Here is a 24,237-nt window from a genome sequence, read left to right as displayed (position 1 = left end):
TAATGAAGGATAAATATCAGTATACACATCCCTTATCCTCTACAGCAGGGATCAGCAAAATATGGCCCATTGCTTGTTTTTGTAAATAAAATTTGTTAGAATGCAATCACACCCCTTCATTTACTCATCATTTATGGTTACTGTTGGTCTACCACGGCAAAGTTGCAAAGTTCAAACAGAGGCATTGTGGCCTGTAAATCACTAAAAGTATTCACTAACTGGCTCTTTATGGAAAAATGTTGGTGACCCCTGCTCCAGGATAGTGTTTCTCAAACTATAATGTGCATACAGATTTTCCAGAGAGATTGTTAAAATGGAGATTCTGGTTCATGGGTGATGCCAATACCACTGGTCCAAGGACTGCGTGGGGTAGCCTGGAAGAAGAGCACCTAGGATAGTGTTGTGTAACAAGGTCAGGGCCCTTGTGGTTTGTTTCTCTTGGTCTCTACATGATCATTTATGATTCAGCAGCTCTCAAATCCTGGGCCAGACACAGTTGAAGAGTAAATCATTTTATTAAGAAACCTGGGCCCACATTCCTTCAGCTCAGCCTCACCTTAGGCACACCTCTCCAAGTTCCCTAGAGGAATTCTACAGAATTGTGAGTGCTCATGGTTTCTTACCGTTCTAAGTGTCTGTGGTGACCCTTCACCCACCTGTCCCTCTAGGCAGCCTCCAAGCCCAGCTTTTTTATTTTCTCGGTGGCTCTGCAGGATGCTAAATCTGGAGAAGCAAGGCTACTCCAGCCAGAACCCACTTGGATGGGTTTTCCTTAGTCTTCAGGTTGAAAGTCCACACGTAGGTGGGTCCCCGCTGACTAGTCTTGTACACAGGACAGGAATAGACACTGCGGCAGTCCTGCTTATCTGCAGGAATGGCCTTGATGAACATCACAGGCATAGGGGGTGTCAGATCCTTCAGCTTTGCCTCTGTAATGATCCCAGCCTGAGGATAAAACATGAGAAGAGGCACCTTAGATCAGACCCAGAGCCCAGCCAACCAGCCTTGCTCTTGTCAGCAGATCCAAGGGAGGAAAGACTGGACTGACATGGCTGCCTTTATGCCTGCCCCCTTCCAGGTTTTCTCAGCAGCCTTTGATGGAATGCATCTGATATGTAGAAACACGTTTCTATTTTTCTCTGCCTAAATCAGGTGAAGCAGAGTTCCAAAAGCTATTATCATATACAAATGAATCCCTTTGGAGCTTGATTCTCTCCTAGTTTGTTTTTTCATTAATTCATTTCATGAGCATATCGAATGTGTATATTTGCCAGATGTCGGGCTAGGTGCTGGGGATTTAAAAATGACTAAGACACAGTTTCTGCCAGTAAATGCTTTAGCTTTTAAAGCTTTTGTTATGTCCTGTTTCTGTTTCTTTTCTATTTCATATGCAACTTCCTCCATCCTCTAGAGTGGAGAGGGCTACATTCTATCTTTACTCATGTAATGTGGACCTGAGTATTCTGTAGCTTTCCAGATGAGGCCTCCCTATGATTTTCTGAGCTATTTCAATACAGCTGTACAGAGCAATTTTTCCTACTAGTCCCGAGAAATGTTCTGCGGAGCCAAAGTCTCCCTTGGTCCAATAAATTTGGGAAGTGGTGCTTACCATATTCTGGACTTGACGTTTTACAACATACACTACCACACTGAACACAAGAAGTCCTAGCAATAAAGAAAACAGTTTATTTAACCTGGTGTTTCCCAAACTTATTTGACCACAGGACCTTTCTCTTTGCAACCTATTCATTTCCCATAGCACTAGTGCCTTATGGACCATACTTTGGGAAATGCTGATTCAGAGTGTTTCACAGATTCTTTGTGTCCATGTGACTCTGAGGCCTTTATGCCATGGACAAAGTTTGGTTTATTTGTGTGAAATTTATTTAAAGGGAAGGATGTAGCTCTTCACTTCTTTTAGAGGCTGATGAGGTAAAGGATGGTGAGTAACAGAATTAAGGTAAACAGTGGGGACCTCCTTGCCCCATAGAGATGAATGTGTATGGCAAGGAATAGGAACAGAGGTAGAACCTCTTTTTTTTTCCCCAACATACTGTAAAACCAATCCTTTTAAAGTGTATAATTTAGTGGTTTTTGGTGTGTTGACAAAGTTGTACGATCATTATCACTGTCTAATTCTAAAACATTTGCATCTCCCCAAAAAGAAACTCTATGATCATTAGCAGTCACCATTAACAGGATGTATTGACAGCTCCAATTATTATGGTTGAATTGTTTACTTCTTCCTTTAATTCTGTCAGTTTCTGTTTTGTATATTTTGGGGGCTCTTTTGTTAGGTGCATACATATTTACAATTGTATCTTCTTGATGGGTTGATCTTTTTATTCTCATAAAATGTCCTTTTTTTGTCTCTATAATTTCTATCCTATTTATTTTTCAGTAACAATTTTTACCTTATAAAGTCTATTTTGTCTGATACAGTATAGCCTCTCAGCTGCCTTTTGGTTACTGTTTGCATGGCATATCTGTTTCCATCTGTTTTCTTTTAACCTATTGGTATCTTCCAATCTAAAACGTGTCTTTTGTGGAAATGATATAATTGGATCATGATGGGTTTCATGGTTTGTTTTTTAAAATTCATTTAGCTAATCTCTGCCTTTTTAAAATTGTATTGCTTAATCCATTTACATTTAATGTAATCACTGATTAAGTAGAATCTGCTATTCGTTTTCTATATGTCTTTTTTATTTCTCTAGTTCTCCATTACTGTCTTCTCTTGTATTACCAGATATACGCTAGTGTATCATTTTAATTTCCCTTGTTTACTATTTTTTAAATTATTAGTGGTTGCCTTGGGGATTACAATTACCATTCTAAGACTGGGCATGGTGCCTTACACCTGTAATCTCAGCACCCTGGGAGGCCAAGGCAGGAAGATCTCTTGAGCTCAGGAGTTGGAGGCCAGCCTGGGCAACATAGGGAGAACTCATCTCTATTAAAATTCAAAAAAGTTAGCCGGGCATGGTGGCACATGCCTGTAGTCCCAGCTACTTGGGAACTGAGGCAAGAGGATTGCTTGAGCCCAGGAAGTTGAGGCTGCAGTGAGCCCTGTTCATGCCACTGCACTCCCGCCTGGGTGGCAAAGTTAGTCACCTAGTCTTAAAAAAAACAAAAAACAAAAAATATTCTAATGTACATAACAATCTATTTCAGATTAATTCCAGCTTACTTTTTTTTTTTTTTTTTTTTGAGATGGAGTCTCACTCTGTTGCCCAGGCTGGAGTGCAATGGCATGATCTCGGCTCACTGCAACCTCTGCCTCCTGGGTTCAAGCAATTCTCCTGCCTTAGCCTCCCCAGTAGCTGGGACTCCAGGTGTGTGCCACCATGCCTGGCTAATTTTGCCATATGGGCCAGGCTGGTCTTGAACTCCTGACCTCAAGTGATCCAACCACCTCATCCTCCCAAAGTGCTGGGATTACAGGCTTGAGCCACTGTGCCCAGCCTAATTCCAGCTTACTTTCAATGGTATACAAAAGCTAATCTTGTATAGCTCCATTCCCTCTCCCTCCTTTGTGCTGTTTTCATCATTTACATTACATCTTTATACATTTCTATCCATCAACACAGATTTATAATTATTTCCTTATGCAGTTGTCCTTTAAATTAGATAGAAGAGAAATAAAAATTACAAATGATGCATTTATACTATCTTTTATGCTTACATATGTAATTGCCTTTGTCAATATTCTATATCTTTGTGTGGACTTGAGTTTCTGTCTAGTATCCTTTCCTTTTGCCTGAAGGACTCCCTTTAGTATTTCCTATAAGGCTGGTTTACTAGTGATGAATTCTCTCTCTCTCTGTCTCTCTCTCTTAAAAAATCTGAGAATGTCTCACTTTCTTCACTTTTGAAAGAGAGTTTTGCTGCAGGTAGGATTCTTGGCAGATAGTCTTTTTCTTTCAGCATTTTGACTATGCCATCGTACTGCCTTCCTCTTTCATGGTTTCTGATGAGCAATCAGCTATTACTCTCATTGAGAACCCCTTGTTAAGTGATGAGCCACTTTTGTTGCTTTCAAGATTTTCTTCTTTATCTTTCACCAGTTTGACTATAATATGTCTTGGTATGGATCTCTGAGTTTGTTCTACTTGGATTTCACTGAGCTTCTTGGACATGTAAATTAATGTAAATTAATGTTTTTCTTCAAATTTGGGCAGTTTTGGGTCATTATCTCTTCAAATAGTCTTTCTGTCCCTTTATCTCTCCTTTCCTTTCTAAACTACCATTGTGCATATGTTGTTATGCTTGATGGTGTCCCACAGGTCTCTGAGACTCTTCATTTTCTCATTTTTTTCTTCTAACGGGATAATTTCAATTGATCTGATTCTAAATTTGCTGATTTTTCTGCTTATTCAATTCTGCTATTGAATTCCTCTACTGAGTTTTCATTTTAGGTATTATATTTTTCAAATCCAGAGTTTCTACTTTATTTTTTTAAAAACATATATAATTTTTCTCTCTGTATTCTCTATTCAGTGATACATAGTTCACACAATTTTCTTTAGTTATTTAGACATGGTTTCTTTTGGTTATTGGAACATCTTTAAAATAGCTGATTTAAAGTCTTTGTCTAGCAAGTCCAATATTTGATCCCCCTCAGGAATAGTTTGCGTTGATTGCTTTCTTCCTTGTGTATGGGCCATTGCTTTTTGTTTCTTTGTATATCATAATTTTTTTGTTGAAAACTTGGACATTTTAAATAATGTGGCCACTCTGCAAATCATATTCTCTCTCTTGCCAGGGTTTGTTTAGTGACTTTTCTGAACTGATTCTGTAAAGTCTATATTCTTTGTCAAGTATGGCCACTGAAGTGGCCTGCTCTGTTAGCTTAGAGGTCACCAAATAATTGGACAGATTTTCTCAAATGCCTAGAACCAATAAGTCACAAAGTCTTGGCTGAGTGGCTGTGTGCAAGTGTTGGAGCACACCTTCAGTGCTTAGCCAGGCAGTTTAAAACTCTGCTTAGATTTCACTCCCCTGTTTTCCTAGAACCTCAAGGTTAGCTAGAGTGTACTGCCTTCTCAACTCTCTTGAGCATGTCCACAGCTGTGGATGGGTGCACAGATCTGCACATAGGCATGGCCTAGATTTCCAGGAACATGTCAGGGGTTTTCAAAGCCCCCTATGGCCATCTCATTCTCCGACTTGCCCTTTTAAGCTTTTTGATTAGCCTACTGTTTGCACCACTATTATCTACTGCTTCAGACAAACTGCAGTGTTAAGCAGTTGTCTTTGATTGTCTTCAACAAATGCCCTGGGGAAAAAGACTGTTGCCCTGGGTGAGTTCCAACTCAGGTGAGATAAAGACTTGTGAGTCCAGGGAATCCCTGGACAGGCAAAATAATGACAGTTTTTTTGTGGGGGGGTGGGGAACAGGGCTTTGAAGGTGCTCCAACCCCATTTTGCCCCTTCCAGTGGTTTCCAGGCTACTGGTTTCACTGTGATTGTGGTCTGTTGGTTTTATAGGTAACCTCCAAGCTAGGGGTTGGGTTGAGATGGGAATAGACAAGTTAAAAGGCCATAGACTGTTCTTCCTACTGAGATTCAGCTGTTTTGCTTGAGTAAACACTTCTTGGATTGCTGAAAGCCTTTGGTTAATTTCCAGAATTCTAAGAAAGTTGATTCTGACTCAGTTTTTGTGAATGTTCTCATTGTTTTATGGAGGAGAGGATTTTAGGAGGTCCTGACTCTTCCATTTTTGCCGACATCTTTCTGGGATAAAACCTTTGAGAACAACAGCTTTTGGTGAAGAAGTATTGATTTTGGGGAAGTTTTTATTATTATTTACAATGAGGTATGAAAAATGGGAGGTTGACAATTGAAACTGATATCATTCCCCCACTTCCAGTGTCACTGACTTTCCTTCTGAGCTTCTTGCCTACTTTCCTTTTGGTACTTCTCTCATTTTGGTGGTTTGGAGGATTCTATTAATAGCTGTGGCTTGCTCTAGGCCACCTTATACCTAATGCAATCCATATATGATCTCCACTGACAGAATCTTGTGCAAATGTTCAGGTGGAGAGAGGGAAGTCAACTTCCTTCTCAAGATTCAGGCTTTCTAAACATTACCCTACTTTACTGTCCTTTCTGTTGGCTCTTGAATTGCTTTCCTAGGGCTGGCATAATAAAATGCCACAAACTTGATGGCTTGAAACAACATATTATCTCACAGTTCTGGAGGCCAGAAGTCCTAAGTCAAAGTATGGGCAGAGTTGGTCCTCCTGGAGGTTCTGAAGCAGAAACCATCCCATACCTTTCCTAGCTTCTGATGGTTGCTGGTAATCCCTGGAATTCCTCGGCTTGTAGATACATCACTCCAATTCTGCCTCTGTCTTCATAGGGAATTCTCTTCTGTGTCTCTACATGGTCTTCTTTGTTTTGTTTTTTTGAGGTAATTTGTTTAACTGCAAGCCTATATGGAATGAATGAATACATTTCCTACTGCTAATATACTCCATGAGACTTTACTTGCTATATCCACTAGAATGGTAAGCATTATAAAACATGTCTCAACAAAATTTTCCATCTCTTTTCCTTTTAGTTTCTTTTTTTTAAAAAAAATTTCAACTCTTAGATACAGGGGATACATATGCAGATTTGTTACATGGGAATATTGTATGATGCTGAGGTTTGGAGTATGGATCCCTTCATCTAGTTAGTGAGCATAGTACCGGATAGTTAGTTTTTATTAACCCCCACCTCTCCCTACACCCTCTAATAATCCAGTGTCTATTGTTCCCATATCTGTGCCCATCTATGTGGTCGTTGTCTTCTTTTTTTTTTTTTGAGACGGAGTTTTGCTCTTGTTGCCCAGGCTGGAATGCAATGGTGCGATCTCGGCTCACTGCAACCTCCACCTCCCGGGTTCAAGCGATTCTCCTGCTTCAGCATTCCGAGTAGCTGGGATAACAGGCATGCACCACCATGCCCGGCTAATTTTGTATTTTTAGTAGAGATGGGGTTTCTCCATGTTGGTCAGGCTGGTCTCAAACTCCTGACCTCAGGTGATCTGCCCGCCTCGGCCTCCCAAAGTGCTGGGATTACAGGTGTGAGCCACTGTGCCCGACCTGTGTGTCTTCTTATAAGGGCACTGGTCATTGGATTTAGGGTTCATGATAATCCAGTATGACCTCATCATAACTAATTACATCTGCAAAGACCTTATTTCTAAATAATCATTCTGGGGTTATGCCTAGACATGAATTTTTGGGGGCACTACTTAACCAAGTAAATCTCTATTTGCATATTCTTATTGGTGACAAAACATCTTCTCCAATCTCATGTGACTCACGTTTTTATTAGCCTTTGATAAGGAATCCTTTCAAAATGCCACTTTAAGTGATATCTACTGGCTCCTCTTTGCCAACATAGGACAACATAAAAGGCAGAAGATTCCTGCCCTTTGAGAGCTCATGAATGTGGAAAGTGGACCAAGGAGGTGAGGCAGGAGAATTGCTTGAACTCGGGAGGCGGAGGTTGCAGTGAGCTAAGATCGTGCCACTGTACTCCAGCCTGGGCGACAGACACACAGCAGCAGCAGCAGAGATAGCTGACTCCAACATTTTTTGATAACTGCCTATGTGCCAGGCACTGTTCAAGTGTCTTACATATTAGCTCGTTTAACTTTTACAATGACGCTCTTCTCCCATCTAACAGGTGAGGTCTGGAAAGGTGAAACTATATCTAAAGTTACAGAGTTAATAAATGGTGGTGCTGGGATTCAGACCCAGCCAGTCTGGTTCCAAAGCCCTTGCTATTAACCTCTCCACTCTACTGCCTCTGCAAAACTTACGCTCTTTGCACCACCCCTGGCTAAATAAAAATGGCCTGATGGCCTCAAGGAAAGAAGGTTAGCTAGAGAAAAAGATTCAGGAATATCTCTTTTAGTAGTCACACTTCATAGGAAGCAATGTGTATTTAATCAGCCCCCAGAAAGCTGCCCTTTGGTTCATTCCAAGCTTTACCTGTGTGTCCCAGCAGGCACCTTCCATGAAGAGGCCATGGATGTAGGCCCCTTCCCGAGGAGGACTCCTAAACTCTTCTCTGTTCTTCTTCGTCATGTCACATTGCAGGGCCATCTGGTCCAGTGGCCACTCATTCTTGCGAGCCGTGGACTGCATGATGGCAGTCAGGAACGACTGGGGGTTGAAGAAGCCTGTCAGCCACACAGTGGAGGGCATTGTAAAGTCACCCGTCCAAGCCTCTAGCTCCTTGATTCTGTTGAGGAGGTCTGGAAACCAGGCTGCCAGGCCTGCTGTGGAAGGGTAGGCTCGTCTAGCCCAGGACTCTGGCACCATATCGAAGTACAGGGCATTCTGTAAGTTCTCCATGTGGCTGGTCATAGTCAGCTCCCCCTGAAGATAAAGAATGGGAGGGGGAAAGCGTGAGAAGGTGGGAAGTCCCTGAAAACACCTGGCCTCAGAGACCCCTGGCTCATGGCACCCAGGCAGACAAGAGTTATCCATCCTTGTTCATGTCATTTGAACATAAAACTCCAGGGGTAGGTGACACAATGACTGTCCTGTCTAGTACTTGCTTTGGAAGGTTTGTCTCACAGAAGCTGGTCCTTGAAAACCCTCCCTGCTCTGATGTCAGAGTCTCAACTGTTCTACTCACAGTGTTTCAAAAGACACAATTGCTTCCCATTGCAGACCTTAAACCACTTGTGGGTTCAGTGCCACATGACCTTAGCCTAAAGCTTAAATTCCATGACTCTCCTGCATGCAGCTTAGAAACCCAAGAAGCCAGCGCCTACAAAGATCTATATTCCCCCAAATCAGGGATTTCTTTCAGAAATCGAGCTATTGGATATGTAATCAACTTTAAGGGACACTCTTTCAACAGCTAGATAGGATTTGTAAAGAAAGGTTTACACTGAACACCATCTTTATTTTTTTTTATTTTTGGAGACGGAGTCTCACTCTATTGCCCAGGCTGGAGTGCAGTGGTGCAATCTCTGCTCACTGCAACCTCCGCCTCCCAGGTTCAAGTGATTCTTCTGCCTCAGTCTCTTGAGTAGCTGGGATTACAGGCACCTGCCACCACACCCGGCTAATTTTTGTATTTTCAGTAGAGACAGGGTTTCACCATGTTGGTCTGGCTGGTCTTGAACTCCTGACCTCAAGTGATCAGCCCACCTCAGCCTCCCAAAGTGCTGGGATTACAGGCATGAGCCACCGCGCCCGGCCTGAACACTATGTTTAAAGCAAACTTTGTAACTTTGGCTCTGCCAATGATCTGTGGCAATTTCTTGAAGACCCCATTTCTATTGTTGTGGTTTCTGTAATAGGTGTTAGGGCACCTGACAGCGTTTGGCTGTCTCATCAAGGGCAGACTGCTAAAATGTAAGATGTTCTCACCTCCGTAGGGCCTGGAGTCTCCTGGCCTGTGGGACAGGAGACTGGCACATGGAATTCTAGATCTAACTTTTTCTCTTAACTTTTGGAATTCTTTTTTTTTCTGGAGACGGTGTCTTGCTCTGTCACCCAGGCGGGAGTGCAGGGGCGCAATCTCTGCTCACTGCAACCTCCGCCTCCCGGGTTCAAGCGATTCTTCTGCCTCAGCTTCCTGAGTAGCTGGGATTACAGGCATCTGTCACTATGCCCAGCTAATTTTGTATTTTTAGTAGAGATGGGGTTTCACCATGTTGGCCAGGCTGGTCTCGAACTCCTGACCCTGACCTCAGGTGATCTGCCCACCTCAATCTCCAGAATTGATGGGATTACAGGCATGAGCCTCCGCACCCAGCCACTTTTGGATTTTTTTTTTTTTTTTTTTTTTTTTTTAAGACAGAGTCTTGCTCTGTCACCCAGGCTGGAGTGCAGTAGCACGATCTCAGCTCACGGCAACCTCTGCCTCCCGAGCTCAAGGAATTCTCCTGCCTCAGCCTCCCAAGTAGCTGGGATTACAGGCGCCCACCACCACACCCGACTAATTTTTGTATTTTTAGTAGAGACGGGGTTTCACCATGTTGGCCATGCTGGTCTCAAATTCCTGACCTCAGGTGATCCACCCGCCTTGGCCTCCCAAAATGCTGGGATTACAGGCGTGAGCCACTGCACCTGGCCCACTTTTGGAATTCTTAAAAACAGTTAAGCATACCTACCTTAAGATGAACATATTTCAGTCTCCTGAGTGACAGCCAGAGGCTCCTGATTTATAAGAAATAAACTGGTAACTTCTTTATGAACTTCCTACATGAAGTATAATTATTACGAATTCACTTTCTAGACTGTAGTGTCTGGTGGCCGGACTATTTTAAGACATAAAAACCTCAATGTTTTAAAGAAAAGACCAATATCCCTAATCAGACCAGCAACAGATGGACCAGCCTGAATGAGTACAGTGTGAATTACAAACATTTTCCCCCAAGTAACAGGACTTTATTACAGGGATAGAAAATAGATTTCATTCCACGTATTTATCCAGATGTTTTGAGGTGAATGACCAGAGCAGGGTGTTGTGATGAATCTGAGGCCACATCAAGGCTCCATGGGATGTAAAAGAGCCCTGTATGTGCCACCAACATTTATCACTTTCAACCAAACCCGAATTTGATGAGCAAGTTTTTTCTGGTAGATTTCCCTAAGGATCTGCTGAAATGAATATCATTATTAGGTTAAAATAGAAAAAAACTGTTTCCTTTGTTTGGAATCTCTGCTTTAGTGTACACAGGCTTCTGAGAAATGGGTTTAATATGCTGCTTATATCTCTGAGCCCAAATCAAGCTTCTGAGACAATACGGTCTTCCTCATATCTGTAGTTATGTGATAATTCATTGCTACATGCAATGTATAGCTTATGTAATAATTGTTTCCCTTTAAATAGCTGATTATTTAATAAAATAACATTAAGTATAAAGATGAAATTTAGTGCAAAGGACAAAATAAATGATCAAAGAAGATCATTCACTTTGTTTTATGAGACCCCATCTGTGTAGCCATGTCTTCCCTTACCACGTTATGAAGGACATTCATGGCAATGATGAACAAAAGTGATGAGGATGGAAAACCTTGCCTTGTTCCCAAACTTAGAGAGAAAGCAGGCAGTCCCTCACAATTAAATATGTTTTCTTTGGATATCCTTTAAGTTGACATTTCCTTTGATTTCTGTTTTTTTTTTGATATTTTAAAATGAAGATTTGGTGTTCAATTTTGTCAAACGCCTTCTCTGCATTTATGAAGATGATCATATGATTTTTAAATGTAGCACATTAATATGGTAAACTTCACTGACTGATTTTTGAATCTTAAAACTAATCTTGTATTCCTAGGATTACCGCATTTAGCCATGATATATTATCTTATTCTTATATTGTGTGATTTGATTTGTTAACATTTTGCTAAGGAATTTTGCATTTGTGTTTATGAGGAAAGCTGATCTGTCATTTGCTCATAACGTATTTGGTGTCACGTTAATTCTGTTTTCATAAAATTTGTTGAGAAGTTTTCTCTATGCCTTTTCTTAATATACTTTATTTTTTTTTTTTTAGGGCAGTTTTAGTTTCACAGCAAATTGAGCAGCAAGTACAGAGATTACCCTTATATCTTCTGCCTCGACACATGCACAACCTCCACCACTATCAACATTCCCCACCAGAGCGGTACCTTTGTTACAAGTGATGCACCTGCATTCACCTCATTATCACTCAGAGTCCGTAGTTTACCGTAGGGTTTGCCCTTTGCGTTGTACATTCTATGTGTTTGGACAAATTTATAATGACATGTATCTACCATTACAGTATCATATTGTATCATTACAGTTTAATGCCACGTATCCACCATTTTAGTATATGTCATTGCAGTATAATTGTATGTATCCACCGTTACAGTATTGTACAAATACAGTATCATGTTGTATCATTATAGTATATGACAAGTATCCACCATTATAGTATCATATTCATCATTATTGTTTCAGTGTCCTAAAATTTTTCTGTGCTTGACCTACTCATGCCATCCTCACTCTTAACTCTGGGCAACCAGTGTTTTTACTGCCTCCATTGTTTTCCATTTTTCAGAATGTCACATAGTTAGAATAATACAGTATGTAGCCTTTTCATATTGACATCTTTCACTTAGTAGTATGTGTTTAAGTTCCCTCTGTTTCTTTTCATGGCTTGATAGCTGATTTTTTAAAAAGCATTGAATAATAATCCACTGTCTGGATGTACTGCAGTTTATCCATTTACCTACTGAAGTACATCTTGGTTTCTTCCAAGTTTTGGCAGTTACGAATAATGCTGTTATAAACATCTGCAGGTTTTGTATGGTGATTTAAAAAATTAAACTTACGATTTTGAGATAATTATAGGTATATTTATAGTTGTAAGGAATAATACAGACAGATCTTGTGTACCATTTACCTGGTCTCCCCTAATGGTAATAGCTTGAAAAACTATAGTACAATATCACAACCAAGATACTGACATTGATACAGTCAAGACACAAAACATTTCAATCATGATAAGGATTCCTGTTTTTTCTGTGGTGTATGGCTGAAGTAGCATGCTTATTGTCTGTAAGTTTTCTGTCTCGCTAGGCTGTCTCTTTGCTGGTTCATCTCTCTCTGCTGAAGAGAACAGTTTTGTTGTTGTTGTTGTTTTGTCTGCATCCACTGGTATTTCTGGCTTGCTGGCTTTTTTTTTTTTTTTCTCCCATTCTGAGGTCTATGAGGCATAAAGAAAATCCAAGAAACTCACTATCATGTCCCTTCTTGGGTCCTGAGGTTCATAGATAGTCTTCATTCCTCTCTACATATTCCAGAGTCTTATGTTTCTTCTGTATAAAATGGCCATGGTTTTTATTTATACTTAGCAGGAGGAATAGGGAAACATAAGTCTATCCATCTTCCTGGAAGTAGAAGAGTTTATGTAAAATTGGTATTATTTAATCCTTAAATGTTGTAGAATTTACCAAGGATACTTTGTGGATCAGGGGTTTTCTTTGTGGGAAATTTTAAGTCATGAATTCAATTTTTTAAACACATATGGGCTATTTAGGTTATACATTTTACTTGGGTGAGCTTTGATGGAGTCTCATAGGGAACTGGTTCACTTCATTTAAGTAGTTGAATTTAATTGCAGAAAATTATTCATATTCTTATAATCCTTTTAATGTCTATAGGATTTATGATGATATCTCCCCTTCCATCCTGATTTTTTCAAGTTTTTGTTTTTTCTTTTTTCTTATAAATTCTGGTAAATGTTTATTAATTTTATTCATTTTTAAAAAGAACCAGCTTTTGGTTTCATAAAGTTTTATAATTTTTTTGTTTTCACTTTCATTAATTCTACTCTTTATTATTTCCTTCATTTTGTTTACTTTGGGTTTGTTTTGCCATTTTTTTCCTAGTTTCTTAAGGTGCAGCTTAGATAATTGATTTGGGAACTTTTTTCATTGCTGATATTCGCATCTCATGCTATACATTTCCCTCTAAGTTCTGCTTTAGCTAATTGTTACCAATTTTATATATTTTTATTTTTATTTTATTCAATATAGTTAGAATTATTTAGAAATATGCTATTTAATTTCCAAATACTTGTGGGTTTTCTGATATCTTTCTGTTATTGATTTTTAGTTCAATTATGCTATAGTCAGTTAATATACTGTGTATGATTTTAATCCTCTCATATTGCTTTATGACATAAAATATAGTTGATTTTGGTGAGTGTTCTGTGTACTCTTGAAAAGTATGTGTATTCTGACATTGTTGGAGTGTCTGTAAAATTGGTTAAGTTGGTTGATAATTTTGCCAAGTCTTTTTTATCCTAATTAGTTTTCTGTCTACTTGTTCTACTAAATATTGAGAGAGGAGTTTTGAAACCAACTATAATTATGGATTTGTTTATTTCTTCTTTTGATTCTATCATTTTTTTGCTTTATGTATTTTGACGCTTTGTTATGAGGTGCCTATACACTTAGGATTGTTATATCCTCTTGAAAAATTGACTTATTATATAATACTCCTCTTCATCCATGGTAATATTGCTTATTTAAAAATATAGTTAGTTTGATTTTTATATAGCCTCTACAACTTTCTTTTGATTAGTGTTTTTATATTATATTTTTTCTCATCTTTTTCTTCTAACCTGTGTTTAGCTGGATACGTAGTTTTTTTGTCCTTTGTTTTGGTAATCAGCTGTGCTGAAAGAGTTAATGGGCAAGCTTGAGACTGCTATCCTTAGAAATGCCTGCTAGCAAGGTTGGCCTGTGGCTGGCATCTAGAAACTTAGCTCCTCGTTAACGGTTAATAGAAAAGGGTGGTTGACCATATCCAGACTGTGCAAACAATTTGGTTTACAATGAATACCTACTTCCCATTTGGAAGCATGGAATTTTGGATGTGCTAGAAAGAGGGTGCCTATGTGACCAGCTCCTAATAAAATCCTTGGGTGCTGGGGTCTCTAATGGAATTCCCTGGGCAGAAATGTTACACAAATGTTACTCCATTTCCAGTGCTGGAGAGAGGATGCACTCTATGTGATCCTTCATGAGAGGGAGGCAGCATATGGAAACCTGTACATGGGTTTCTCCTGACTCCACCTATGTCTTTTCCCTTATGATCTGGCTATGTGTGTATTCTTACTACAGCACCATAACAAATTTTAGCCATATGTATTAATACAATCATATGCTGAAACTCATGAGTCCTTCTAGCAAATCTCCAAATGTAGGAGTGGTCTGGAGACAGGATTCCTGACATAACAGCATATAGGTAGGTCTTGCTTTTTAAAAATTGGATCTGGCAGTTCTAAACAGTACTCTGGGCACTTAAGCCGTTTATATTTAATGTAGTTACCAATACAGTAACTACTATAATTGTAGATTATTTATTTATTTTTTGGCTGCTCTAGGGCAAGAATTGACAAACTTTTTTTTTTTTCCTGTAAAGTGTCAAATAGTAAATAAATATTACAGGCTTTGTGGGCCATATGATCTCTGCTGACACTACTCAATTCTGCTATTGTAGCACAAAAATAGCCATAGACAATGTATATATGAATGACTGTGGCTGTGTTCCAATGTTTACTTGCCAAAACAGGTTGTGGGCTGGATTTGGCCTGTTGGCTGACAGTTTGCTGAATGCTGCTGTAGGATTTACAATACATGTCTCTAACTCATCACACCCTAACTTCAAAATTATACCACTCCACATATGCTGTAAGAATCATATACAATATGCTTCTATTTCTCTCATTTTTCATGCTGTTGTTGGCATGTATTTTGGTTTTACATATGCTTAAAGCCCACAGTAAATTTTTATTATTTTTGTTTTAAACAGTCTATTATTTTTAAAAAAAGATTTTGGATGAGTAAAAATGTCTTTCATATTACTCACATATTTACCATCTGTGGAGACCATTATTTCTTTGTTTAGATCCAAATTTCCATATATCATTTTCTTTCTTTCTAAGAAATTTCTTTCTCTCTCTTTTTTTTTTTTTTTTTTTAAGACGAAGTCTTGCCGTGTTGCCCAGGCTGGAGTGCAGTGGTGTGATCTCGGCTCACCACAACCTCCGCCTCCTGGGTTCTAAGAAATTTCTTTAACATTTCTTGTCCCACAGGCTTGTTGGCTATGAATTATTTCAGTTGTCTGAAAACATCTTTACTTAGTTTTCTTTTTTGAAAGCTATTTTTTCCTGGGCAAAGAATTCTAAGTTTACAGTTTTTTTCTTTTAGTACTTTAATGATAGTTCTCCACTTTCTTCTGGCTTGCACAGCTTCTGACAAGAAGTCTGCCATCATTCTTTTCTTTGATCCTTTAAATATAATTTTTATTTTTCTCCTCTTGCTGCTTTTAAAATTTTTCTTTATCCCTGGTTTCAGCAGTTTTATTATGAGGTGTATTTACAATGTTTTCATTAGGCTTATTCTGCATGGGGCTTGTTGAGCTTCTTGTACCTATAGGTTTTGTGGTTTTCAGCAAATTTGCAAAACTGTGGCCCTTATTTCTTCAAATAGTTTTTTTGGCCCCCCCCTTCCCCATCAACAACCCCATCCTTTTGGGACACCAATTACATGTATGTTAGACCACTTGATATTATCCTACAGGACCTAGTAATTTGTTTACTTTTTGGGACACCAATTACATGTATGTTAGACCACTTGATATTATCCTACAGGACCTAGTAATTTGTTTACTTTTTTTGGTTTTTTCATTATTCTAGATGTTTTTATTGCTGTGTATTCATGGTTACTGATCTTTTCTCCTGCAGTGCCTACTCAGCTGTGAATCCTCTGAAGTTCATTTTTTCATATCAATATTGTATTTTTCATCTCTATAAATTCCATTTGCGTCTTTTAATAAATATCTTACATGTTCTACATTATACTCTTGTTTTCTTCTAGCTTCTTGAATATATGGTGCAAACTTATAATAGTTGTTTTAACATCTTTGTCTTCCATTGTCTCTGTCATTTCTGGCTTCATTTCAATTGATCACATTTTTTTTTTTTTTTTTTTTGAGCTGGAGTCTCTCTCTGTGGCCCAGGCTGGAGTGCAGTGGCGATCTCCACTCACTGCAAGCTCTACAGGCGCCTGCCACCACGCCTGGCTAATTTTTTTGTATTTTTAGTAGAGACGGGGTTTCACCACGTTAGCCAGGATGGTCTTGATCTCCTGACCTCGTGATCCGCCCGCCTCAGCCTCCCAAAGTGCTGGGATTACAGGCATGAGCCACCGCACCTGGCCTTGTCAGCACTTCTTTTCTAACAAACATGATGGATTATGCCCATTAACAGGACATACTCCCAATGTCCAGTAGCTTTGATACCACTTCACTTCATCCCATTTGTGAATGAGAATCAGAATCAGGTGAATGAGAGTGATAAGGAGGGGAAAAAGCAAGGTAAAGCCACTGATGTCATAGGTTGATGCCGCTTGAGGCCTGACCAGCACAAAAGGGCTGTGGGTTGGTGGCTGGTAGAACCACTGAGTCTGGGTACAGCATGCTCCAACGGTAAGTCAGGCTAATGCAGCAACTTCTCTGTGGGCAGCAGCTGCAGGGTGGACAGGTGAGAAAACCCCCTCTACGGACTGGGCCATGTACCTGGCAAATTCATATGTTGAAGCCCCAACCCTCCATGTGACTGTATTGGAAATAGAGTCTTTAAGGAGGTAATTAAGGTTAAGTGACGTCATAAGGATGAAGCCCTAATCTGATAGGACTTTCGCCTTATAAGAAGAGGAAGAAATCTCTCAGTCTCTCTCCCACTTTCCCCTTTTCTGGCTCTGCCTCCCTGCCATTTGAGGACACAGAGAGGAGACACCTCTCTACAAGCCCAGCAGAGAGCCCTCACCAGAAACCAAATTTGCCGGTGCTTGAGCTTAGACTTTGAGCCTCCACAACTGTGAGAAATAAATATCTGTTGTTTAAGCCACACCGTCTACGGTATTTTGTTACAGCAGCTGTACCTGACTCATACAGCCCTGGAGAAGAGAACCAGGAGAGAGGTCAGTGGGAAAAGTGATTGCTGTGAATGGAAAAAAAAATGGCCTTTAAGGGCTACAGGCCATTTTAGGAGAGAAGGGCTGAAATTCACCTTTAGGGGCAGGATGAAGTATTGTGCTTTATGGGGAAACTACCTGATAGTCTCTTTAGCAAACACAGCTACAAGGCAAATCCTTATCCATTGTCCTTGGCCTTACATTACAGGACCCAAATACATATATTTTAGGTTTACAGTGTCTCATATGATAGCCACTAGCCACATGTGGCTATTTAAATGCAAGTGAACTAAAATTATAAAATTAAAAATTGAGAGCTGGGCACAGTGGCTCATGCCTATTATCTCAGCACTTTGGGAAGCCAAGGCAGGAGGAGCACTTTGAGCCCGGGAGTGTGAAACCAGCCTGGGAAACACAGTGAGGCCTGGTATCTACCAAAAAAAAAAAAAAAAAAAAAAAAAAAAGAATTAGCTGGGTGTAATGGTGCATGCCTGTAATCCCAGCTACTTGGATGGCTGAGGCACAAGAATTGCTTGAACCTAGAAGGTAGAGGTTGCAGTAAGCAAAGATCATGCCACTGAACTCCAGCCTGGGCAACAGAGCAAGACTCTGTCAAAAAAAAAAAAAAAAAAAAGTAATATAGCTTTGGCAAAAACATACATAATAGTTTACATTACCAGACAGAAAACCTAGCCTTTTTGCCTAAAATACCATCATCCACCAGAGCTTCCTGTGATGGCAAAGACATTCTGTATCTGTGCTAATAAGATCACATGTGGCTACTGAACACATGAAATGTAACTAATGCAAAAAAGGAACTGAATTTTTAATTAATTTTTTTTTTTTTTTTTGAGATGGAGTTTTGCTGTGTCACCCAGGCTAGAGTGCAGTGGTGTGATCTCAGCTCACTGCAACCTCTGCCTTCCAGGTTCAAGCAATTCTCCTGCCTCAGCCTCCCGAGTAGCTGGGATTACAGGCAGCTGCCACCAAGCCCGGCTGAGTTTTGTATATTTAGTAGAGACGGGGTTTCACCATCTTGTCCAGGCTGGTCTTAAGCTCCTGACCTCATAATCCACCTACCTTGGCCTCCCAAAATGCTGGGATTACAGGTGTGAGCCACCACACCCGGCCGAATTTTTAATTTTTTTTCCCTCAAGATAGGGTCTCACTATGTTGCCCAGACTGGTCTACAAACTCCTGGCCTCAAGCAGTCCTCCTGTCATAGCCACTATGCCCAGCTAATTTTTGTATTTCCAGTAGAGATGGGATTTTGCCATGTTGGCTAGGCTGGTCTCAAACTCCTGGCCTCAAGTGATCCACCCACTTGGGCCTCCCAAAGTGCTAGGATTACAGGTGTGAGCCACCATGCCTGGCTTACATTAAAAACTACAAATGCCAGTTTTAGTACAAATTTTTATGTGCATACAATAGCACTACTTGCTTGCCAACCTGTGGTTAAGAAGATGTGTCAAAAAGTCATGACTCACTTCAAAAGTGAAATGAGTCCAACAGATATTTTTTAAAAAAACAGGCCATACTGCATTCATTTTTTCCCTTCAGAATAAAAATTTTAAGACGTTTTCAATGGCCAATTAACTTCCATGGTTATAAAATGCCTTTACAAACAATACAGCAAAATATAGTTCTACTGAATTTGCTTCTATACAAAATTGTTTGGGGTTGTATGAAATTTGGGTGCATCTATGGAAAGATACTGCACATGTGAATGTCGTCTGTCCTGTGAGTTGATAGGGGAATAAAGGCCCCATTCTGGAGTCACCCGATAACGTGACTCAGCAGAACTCCTAAGGTGTCAGGTTGTGGACTGCTGGCGGTACACTGGACTAAGTGTGATGGAAATGTCCTGGTCGTTTGGGATGTGCTTTGAGGACTGGGCCAGAGCGAGGCAGATAAGATGAACTCAGATGGAACCCTGGACTCAGAAGTCCTTTGTTTCTGGTCATTTCCCTGGGCTAAGTCAACAGCTCACTCTGTGTTACCATCCCTCATACAGAGATGTGCCATTTCTGAAAACCGTGAAGGCATAAAAACTGTTTCTGTAAGTTTTGTTATAAGAAGAGATAATGTGCTTGAAAAAAGTTTAAAATAGCCAGGCACAGTGGCTCATGCCTGTAATTCCAACACTTTGGGTCAAGGCGGGAGGATCGTTTCACACCAGTAGTTGGAGACCAGCCTGGCAACATAGTGAGACCCCATCTCTACAAAAATAAAAATAAAAAGTTAGTCGGGTGTGGTTGTGTGCACCTGTAGTTCCAGCTACGCACGTGGCTGAGGTGGGAAGATCTCTTGAGCCATGATCACACCACCACACTCCAATCTGGGCAATAGAGAAAGATTCCATCTCTGAAAACAAAAAAGTTTAAAATATATCCAATACAAAGGAATTTTAGGGCAGTGAAACTACTTTTTATGATACTATAATGGTGGATACAAGTCATTATTTATTTGTCCAAACCCATAGAAAGTCTAACACTGAGAATGAACCCCAATGTAAACTATGAACTCTGGGTGATAATGATGTATGAGTATAGATTCATCAGTTATAAGAAAAGTACCACTCTGGTGGGGAATTTGAGAGTCGAGGAAGGATAATTTGTCTTTGAGGACAGCAGGTGTATGGGAAATCTCCATACCTTCTGTGCAATTTTGCTGTGAACTTAAAGTTACTCTAAAAATAAGGTCTAATAAATTTAAAAATATATGCAATACTTAATTTTTAACACCCTTCAGAAATCTAACATCATTTTGAAAGCAGAGGAACATAATATGTGTAACTTGGCTTTCTTAAAAATTTCCCACATCTGCTTATAATAAGATTATAATGTATTCTGACAATAATTTTACACATACTAATTGAATGTGCAAGTGATGGAACTCCAAAGAATGTTCTGTCTCAGCTTGTCAGTGAAGCAGGGACAGCCCTGGAGAAGAGAACCAGGAGTCATTTAGGAAAAGAAGAAAATAAAAAATCATTGGCTGGGCATGGTGGCTCACACCTGTAATCCCAGCACTTTGTGGTGGAGGTAGGTGATTCAGCTGAGGTTGGGAGTTTGAGACCAGCCTGACCAACATGGAGAAACCCCCTCTCTACTGAAAATACAAAATTAGCCAGGCATGCTGGCGCATGCCTGTAATCCCAGCTACTCAGGAGGTTGAGGCAGGAGAATTGCTTGAACCTGGGAAGTAGAGGTTGCGGTGAGCTGAGATTGCGCCATTGCACTCCAGCCTGGACAACAAGAGCAAAACTCCGTCTCAAAGAAAAAAAAAAAAAGTCTCAAGCTATACTACAGCAAAGACACCTACTTATGTTAATTCAACCAGTTTCCTAAACTCCTCTGGCCTGAATCCTGTTTAACAGCGATTAATATTCACACTTGCTCACAGGTCAAGAGTCAACAAAGAGAAAACTTAAAACACTGGACCCTTCGCTCAAGAAAATGCTGCATTTCAGGGTCTACAAGGTGCTTCCTCGGTTTTGGCATTGCAATGAAACTCTGGGAGAACTACAGGCTGGGTGGCCCCTTTTCAGGATAGGAGGGCTATCTGGCTGTGACCTTAACCCTTTCATTCATCCCTATCAATAAATGCTTTCATAATCTTTCTTTGGCATAATACAGAGTGAAAACCTCATTTTTCCTGTAGGTCTTCGTTCTTTTAAGTCAGGGAGCCTGTTAAAAGCTTGGATTTGTAGGCTGTAGTCCAAACTAAGGACTCATACCTCTGGGAATGAGGCCAGGAACTTCCATTTGAAAAGGGCGCCTCTGATCTCTGATGTGTCTGAAGCAGCTGTTGCCCTGGGCTCACGGTCATGCAGCGGGCGTTCAGTCCACAGAGGGCCAGGGGACAGGGCAGCAGCACCCAGGTCCTCCCTCCTGGAGGGGCTCCATGCTGTAGCCTGTCCTGAGGCTTAGCTCCTCTCTGTTTTTTCTACCCTATGAAGATGTTCTTGGCGAGGAGCTTTCATTTGTTTAAGACACTGGGAGCTGAGGACATGGGAAGAAGTGAAAGTGATAAGGGTCCCACTCCTTCCAGGCTGGCCTCCAGGCTGGGTTGGCAGCAGCCTTTCTATTCAGGTATTCTGGTAGAGTACTGGAAGGCCAAAGGCATAGAGGCCAGGATAGCTGCTCAGTGGGTGGGGATGAAAGGGCCATAGCACGGCCCACCCTTCCAGACCTGAACTATTCAAGTCAACACACAGTGCATCAGAATAAAGAGCCAGAGGAGGCCGGGTGCGGTGGCTCACGCCTGTAATCCCAGCACGTTGGGAGGCCGAGGCGGGTGGATCACTTGAGGTCAGGGGTTCGAGACCAGCCTGGCCAACACGGTGAAACCTCATCTCTAGTAAAAAACACAAAAATTAGCCGGGCACGGTGGCAGGCACCTGTAATTCCAGCTACTTGGGAGGCTGAGGCAGGAGAATAGCTTGAACCCAAGAGGTGGAGCTTGCAGTGAGCCGAGATCGTGTCACTGCACTCCAGCCTGGCAACAGAGTGAGACTCCGTCTCAAAAAAAAAAAAAAAAAAAAAAAGAGCCAGATTAGATCCCCAGTCAGCAAGCCAGACTTTAAAACTTGAACAGCTTCACATCTTTAGAAACAGATTTTGTCAATCAGGAGGGGCAATCAACCACTGAAGCATAGAAAAAAAGCCTGATGCCATCACACGTTTGAATGATAAAAATCAGTTCCTGGCCAGGCGTGGTGGCTCACACCTGTAATCCCAGCACTTTGGGAGGCCGAGGTGGGTGGATCACAAGGTCAGGAGTTTGAGACCAGCCTGGTCAATAAGGTGAAACCCCGTCTCTACTAAAGAAACACAAGAATTAGCTGGGCGTGCTGGCGGGAGCCGGGAGGCTGAGGCAGGAGAATCGCTTGAACCCGGGAGACAGAGGTTGCAGTGAGCTGAGATCGCACTACTGCACTCCAGCCTGGGCAACAGAGCAAGACTCTGTCTCAAAAAAAAAAAAAAAAAAAAAAAAAAATAGTTCCCAGCCCCTCCCAGATTCTGGGCTGGCCATGGCTCCATCTAAGATATGCACTGCCTAAATGAAATAGAATGCAAACCACATATGAGAGCCACATAGGTAATTAAAAATTTTCTGGAATTCACATTTTAAAAGTAAAAAACCAAACAGGTGAATTTAACTTTTATTTAACTCAATATATCTAAAATACCAAACATCATTTCAATATATAATAAATATAAAATTACTAGACTATTTTATAGTTTTTGGTCTTATGGCTTTGAAATGTGGTGTGTAATTTAAGCTTATAGCACATCTCAATTTGGACTATTCCATTTCAAGGCTCAGTAGGCACCTGTCATTAATGGCTACTGTATTGGGCATTAAAAGTCTAAGAACTTGTCTTCTGTAGTTTTCCTACATAGGGAGATAATTTCTGGGCAGTCTGTTGTCAGTATATGCCCCTTTGAAAATGATGCCTAGTTGTTATTGAAACAGAATAAATTGGCCATTGGGCATTTGGTACATCAGGCTTTTGTGAGTTTGGTTAGTGAAAGTCAATACCCCTTCCAGTCAGCTCTGGGATAATCACAGGACCTGGTTCCTCATCTTGTGAGGCTGAGAGACAGATGTCTAACTGTGGTGAATTCCCAAAAGAATTCCTTTCTATGGGAACATATTTGTGGCCCCCAGATGATGCCTTCCTTTACCACTTTTGTGTGCTTTGAGCTCCTGTAGTCCTCAAGGCTTTCATTGCTGTGCTTTTCAGTAGCTAATACTTTTTAGGTAGACATTATGGCCTCCCATCCAGCCAAATATGAAGTATGGTGAATAACAATATCTTTTTCATGAATGCTAACAGTGTTGACTTAATGACTTCAAAAATTAGACATTTTCTAACCTTGGTGCCCAGTCTGGGCACAGCATTTGGGTTTGTCCAATTAATGTGTTGGCTAACATGGGTAGACCTGTCTCCCTATGCTCAACCTGAAACAGCCCTGGAATATTTTATTTTATTTTTCGGCTTGCAAGCATTTTTTTTTCTTTTTCAATTTTAAAATACCGTTATATATTTAGAGGGTACAAGTGCAGATTTTTTTTTTCTTTTTCTTTTTTTTTTTTTTTTTGAGATGGAGTCTTGCTCTGTGGCCCAGGCTGGAGTGCAGTGGTGGCATCTTGGCTCACTGCAAGCTCCGCCTCCCGGGTTCACGCCATTCTCCTGCCTCAGCCTCCCGAGTGGCTGGGACTACAGGTGCCTGCCACCACGCCTGGCTATTTTTTTTGTATTTTTAGTAGAGACAGGGTTTCACCATATTGGCCAGGCTGGTCTCAAACTCCTGACCTTGTGATCCACCCACCTTGCCCTCCCAAAGTGCTGGGATTACAGGTGTGAGCCACCACACCTGGCCGGGAAGTAATTTTTATCATTCAAACGTGTGATGGTGTCAGGCTTTTTGTCTATGCTTCAGTGGTTGATTGCCCCTCCTGATAGACAAAATCTGTTTCTAAAGATGTGAAGCTGTTCAAGTTTAAAGTCTGGCTTGCTGACTGGGGATCTAATCTGGCTCTTTTTTTTTTTTTTTTTTTTTTTGAGATGGACTCTTGCTCTGTCACCCAGACTGGAGTGCAGTGGCATGATCTCAGCTCGCTGCAACCTCCACCTCCCGGGTTCAAACTATTCTCCTGCCTCAGCCTCCCAAGTAGCTGGGATTACAGGTGCGTGCCACCACGCCTGGCTAATTTTTGTATTTTTTAGTAGAGATGAGGTTTCACCATGTTGGCC

General features: G+C 40.7%; 1 protein-coding gene and 1 long non-coding RNA gene across 6 annotated transcripts in view, besides 2 other annotated features; one reads left to right on the top strand and one right to left on the bottom strand.

The window, feature by feature from the left end:
- The window catches only part of DNAH9 (dynein axonemal heavy chain 9), a 371,279-nt gene continuing 347,538 nt past the window's right edge, over positions 497–24,237 (bottom strand). For all 5 annotated transcript variants that reach the window (XM_011523703.3, NM_001372.4, XM_017024292.3 and 2 more), the window contains 2 exons: positions 7,989–8,378; positions 497–945 (listed from right to left, as the gene is read on the bottom strand). In XM_011523703.3, the coding sequence (XP_011522005.1) occupies positions 718–945; positions 7,989–8,378 (618 nt within the window). In that variant the 3' untranslated portion in view covers positions 497–717. The remainder of the gene's footprint in view (positions 946–7,988; positions 8,379–24,237) is intronic.
- On the top strand, positions 10,031–16,354 carry LOC124903928 (uncharacterized). Its single transcript, XR_007065622.1, has 2 exons — positions 10,031–10,114; positions 11,516–16,354. It is a non-coding gene; the product is annotated as an uncharacterized LOC124903928 (long non-coding RNA).
- Positions 21,000–21,499: an enhancer, noted in NCBI's record as "H3K4me1 hESC enhancer chr17:11852063-11852562 (GRCh37/hg19 assembly coordinates)". NCBI's record gives its function as "activates a minimal SCP1, AML or CMV promoter by ChIP-STARR-seq in primed H9 embryonic stem cells {active_cell/tissue: H9 hESC(primed)}" and the evidence as "EXISTENCE:reporter gene assay evidence [ECO:0000049][PMID:30033119]".
- Positions 21,500–22,001: an enhancer, noted in NCBI's record as "H3K4me1 hESC enhancer chr17:11851561-11852062 (GRCh37/hg19 assembly coordinates)". NCBI's record gives its function as "activates a minimal SCP1, AML or CMV promoter by ChIP-STARR-seq in primed H9 embryonic stem cells {active_cell/tissue: H9 hESC(primed)}" and the evidence as "EXISTENCE:reporter gene assay evidence [ECO:0000049][PMID:30033119]".

This window comes from Homo sapiens, chromosome 17 (assembly GCF_000001405.40).
Source record: "Homo sapiens chromosome 17, GRCh38.p14 Primary Assembly".
Lineage (NCBI taxonomy): Eukaryota > Metazoa > Chordata > Mammalia > Primates > Hominidae > Homo > Homo sapiens.
This window is presented reverse-complemented; position numbering and strand designations above follow the sequence as displayed.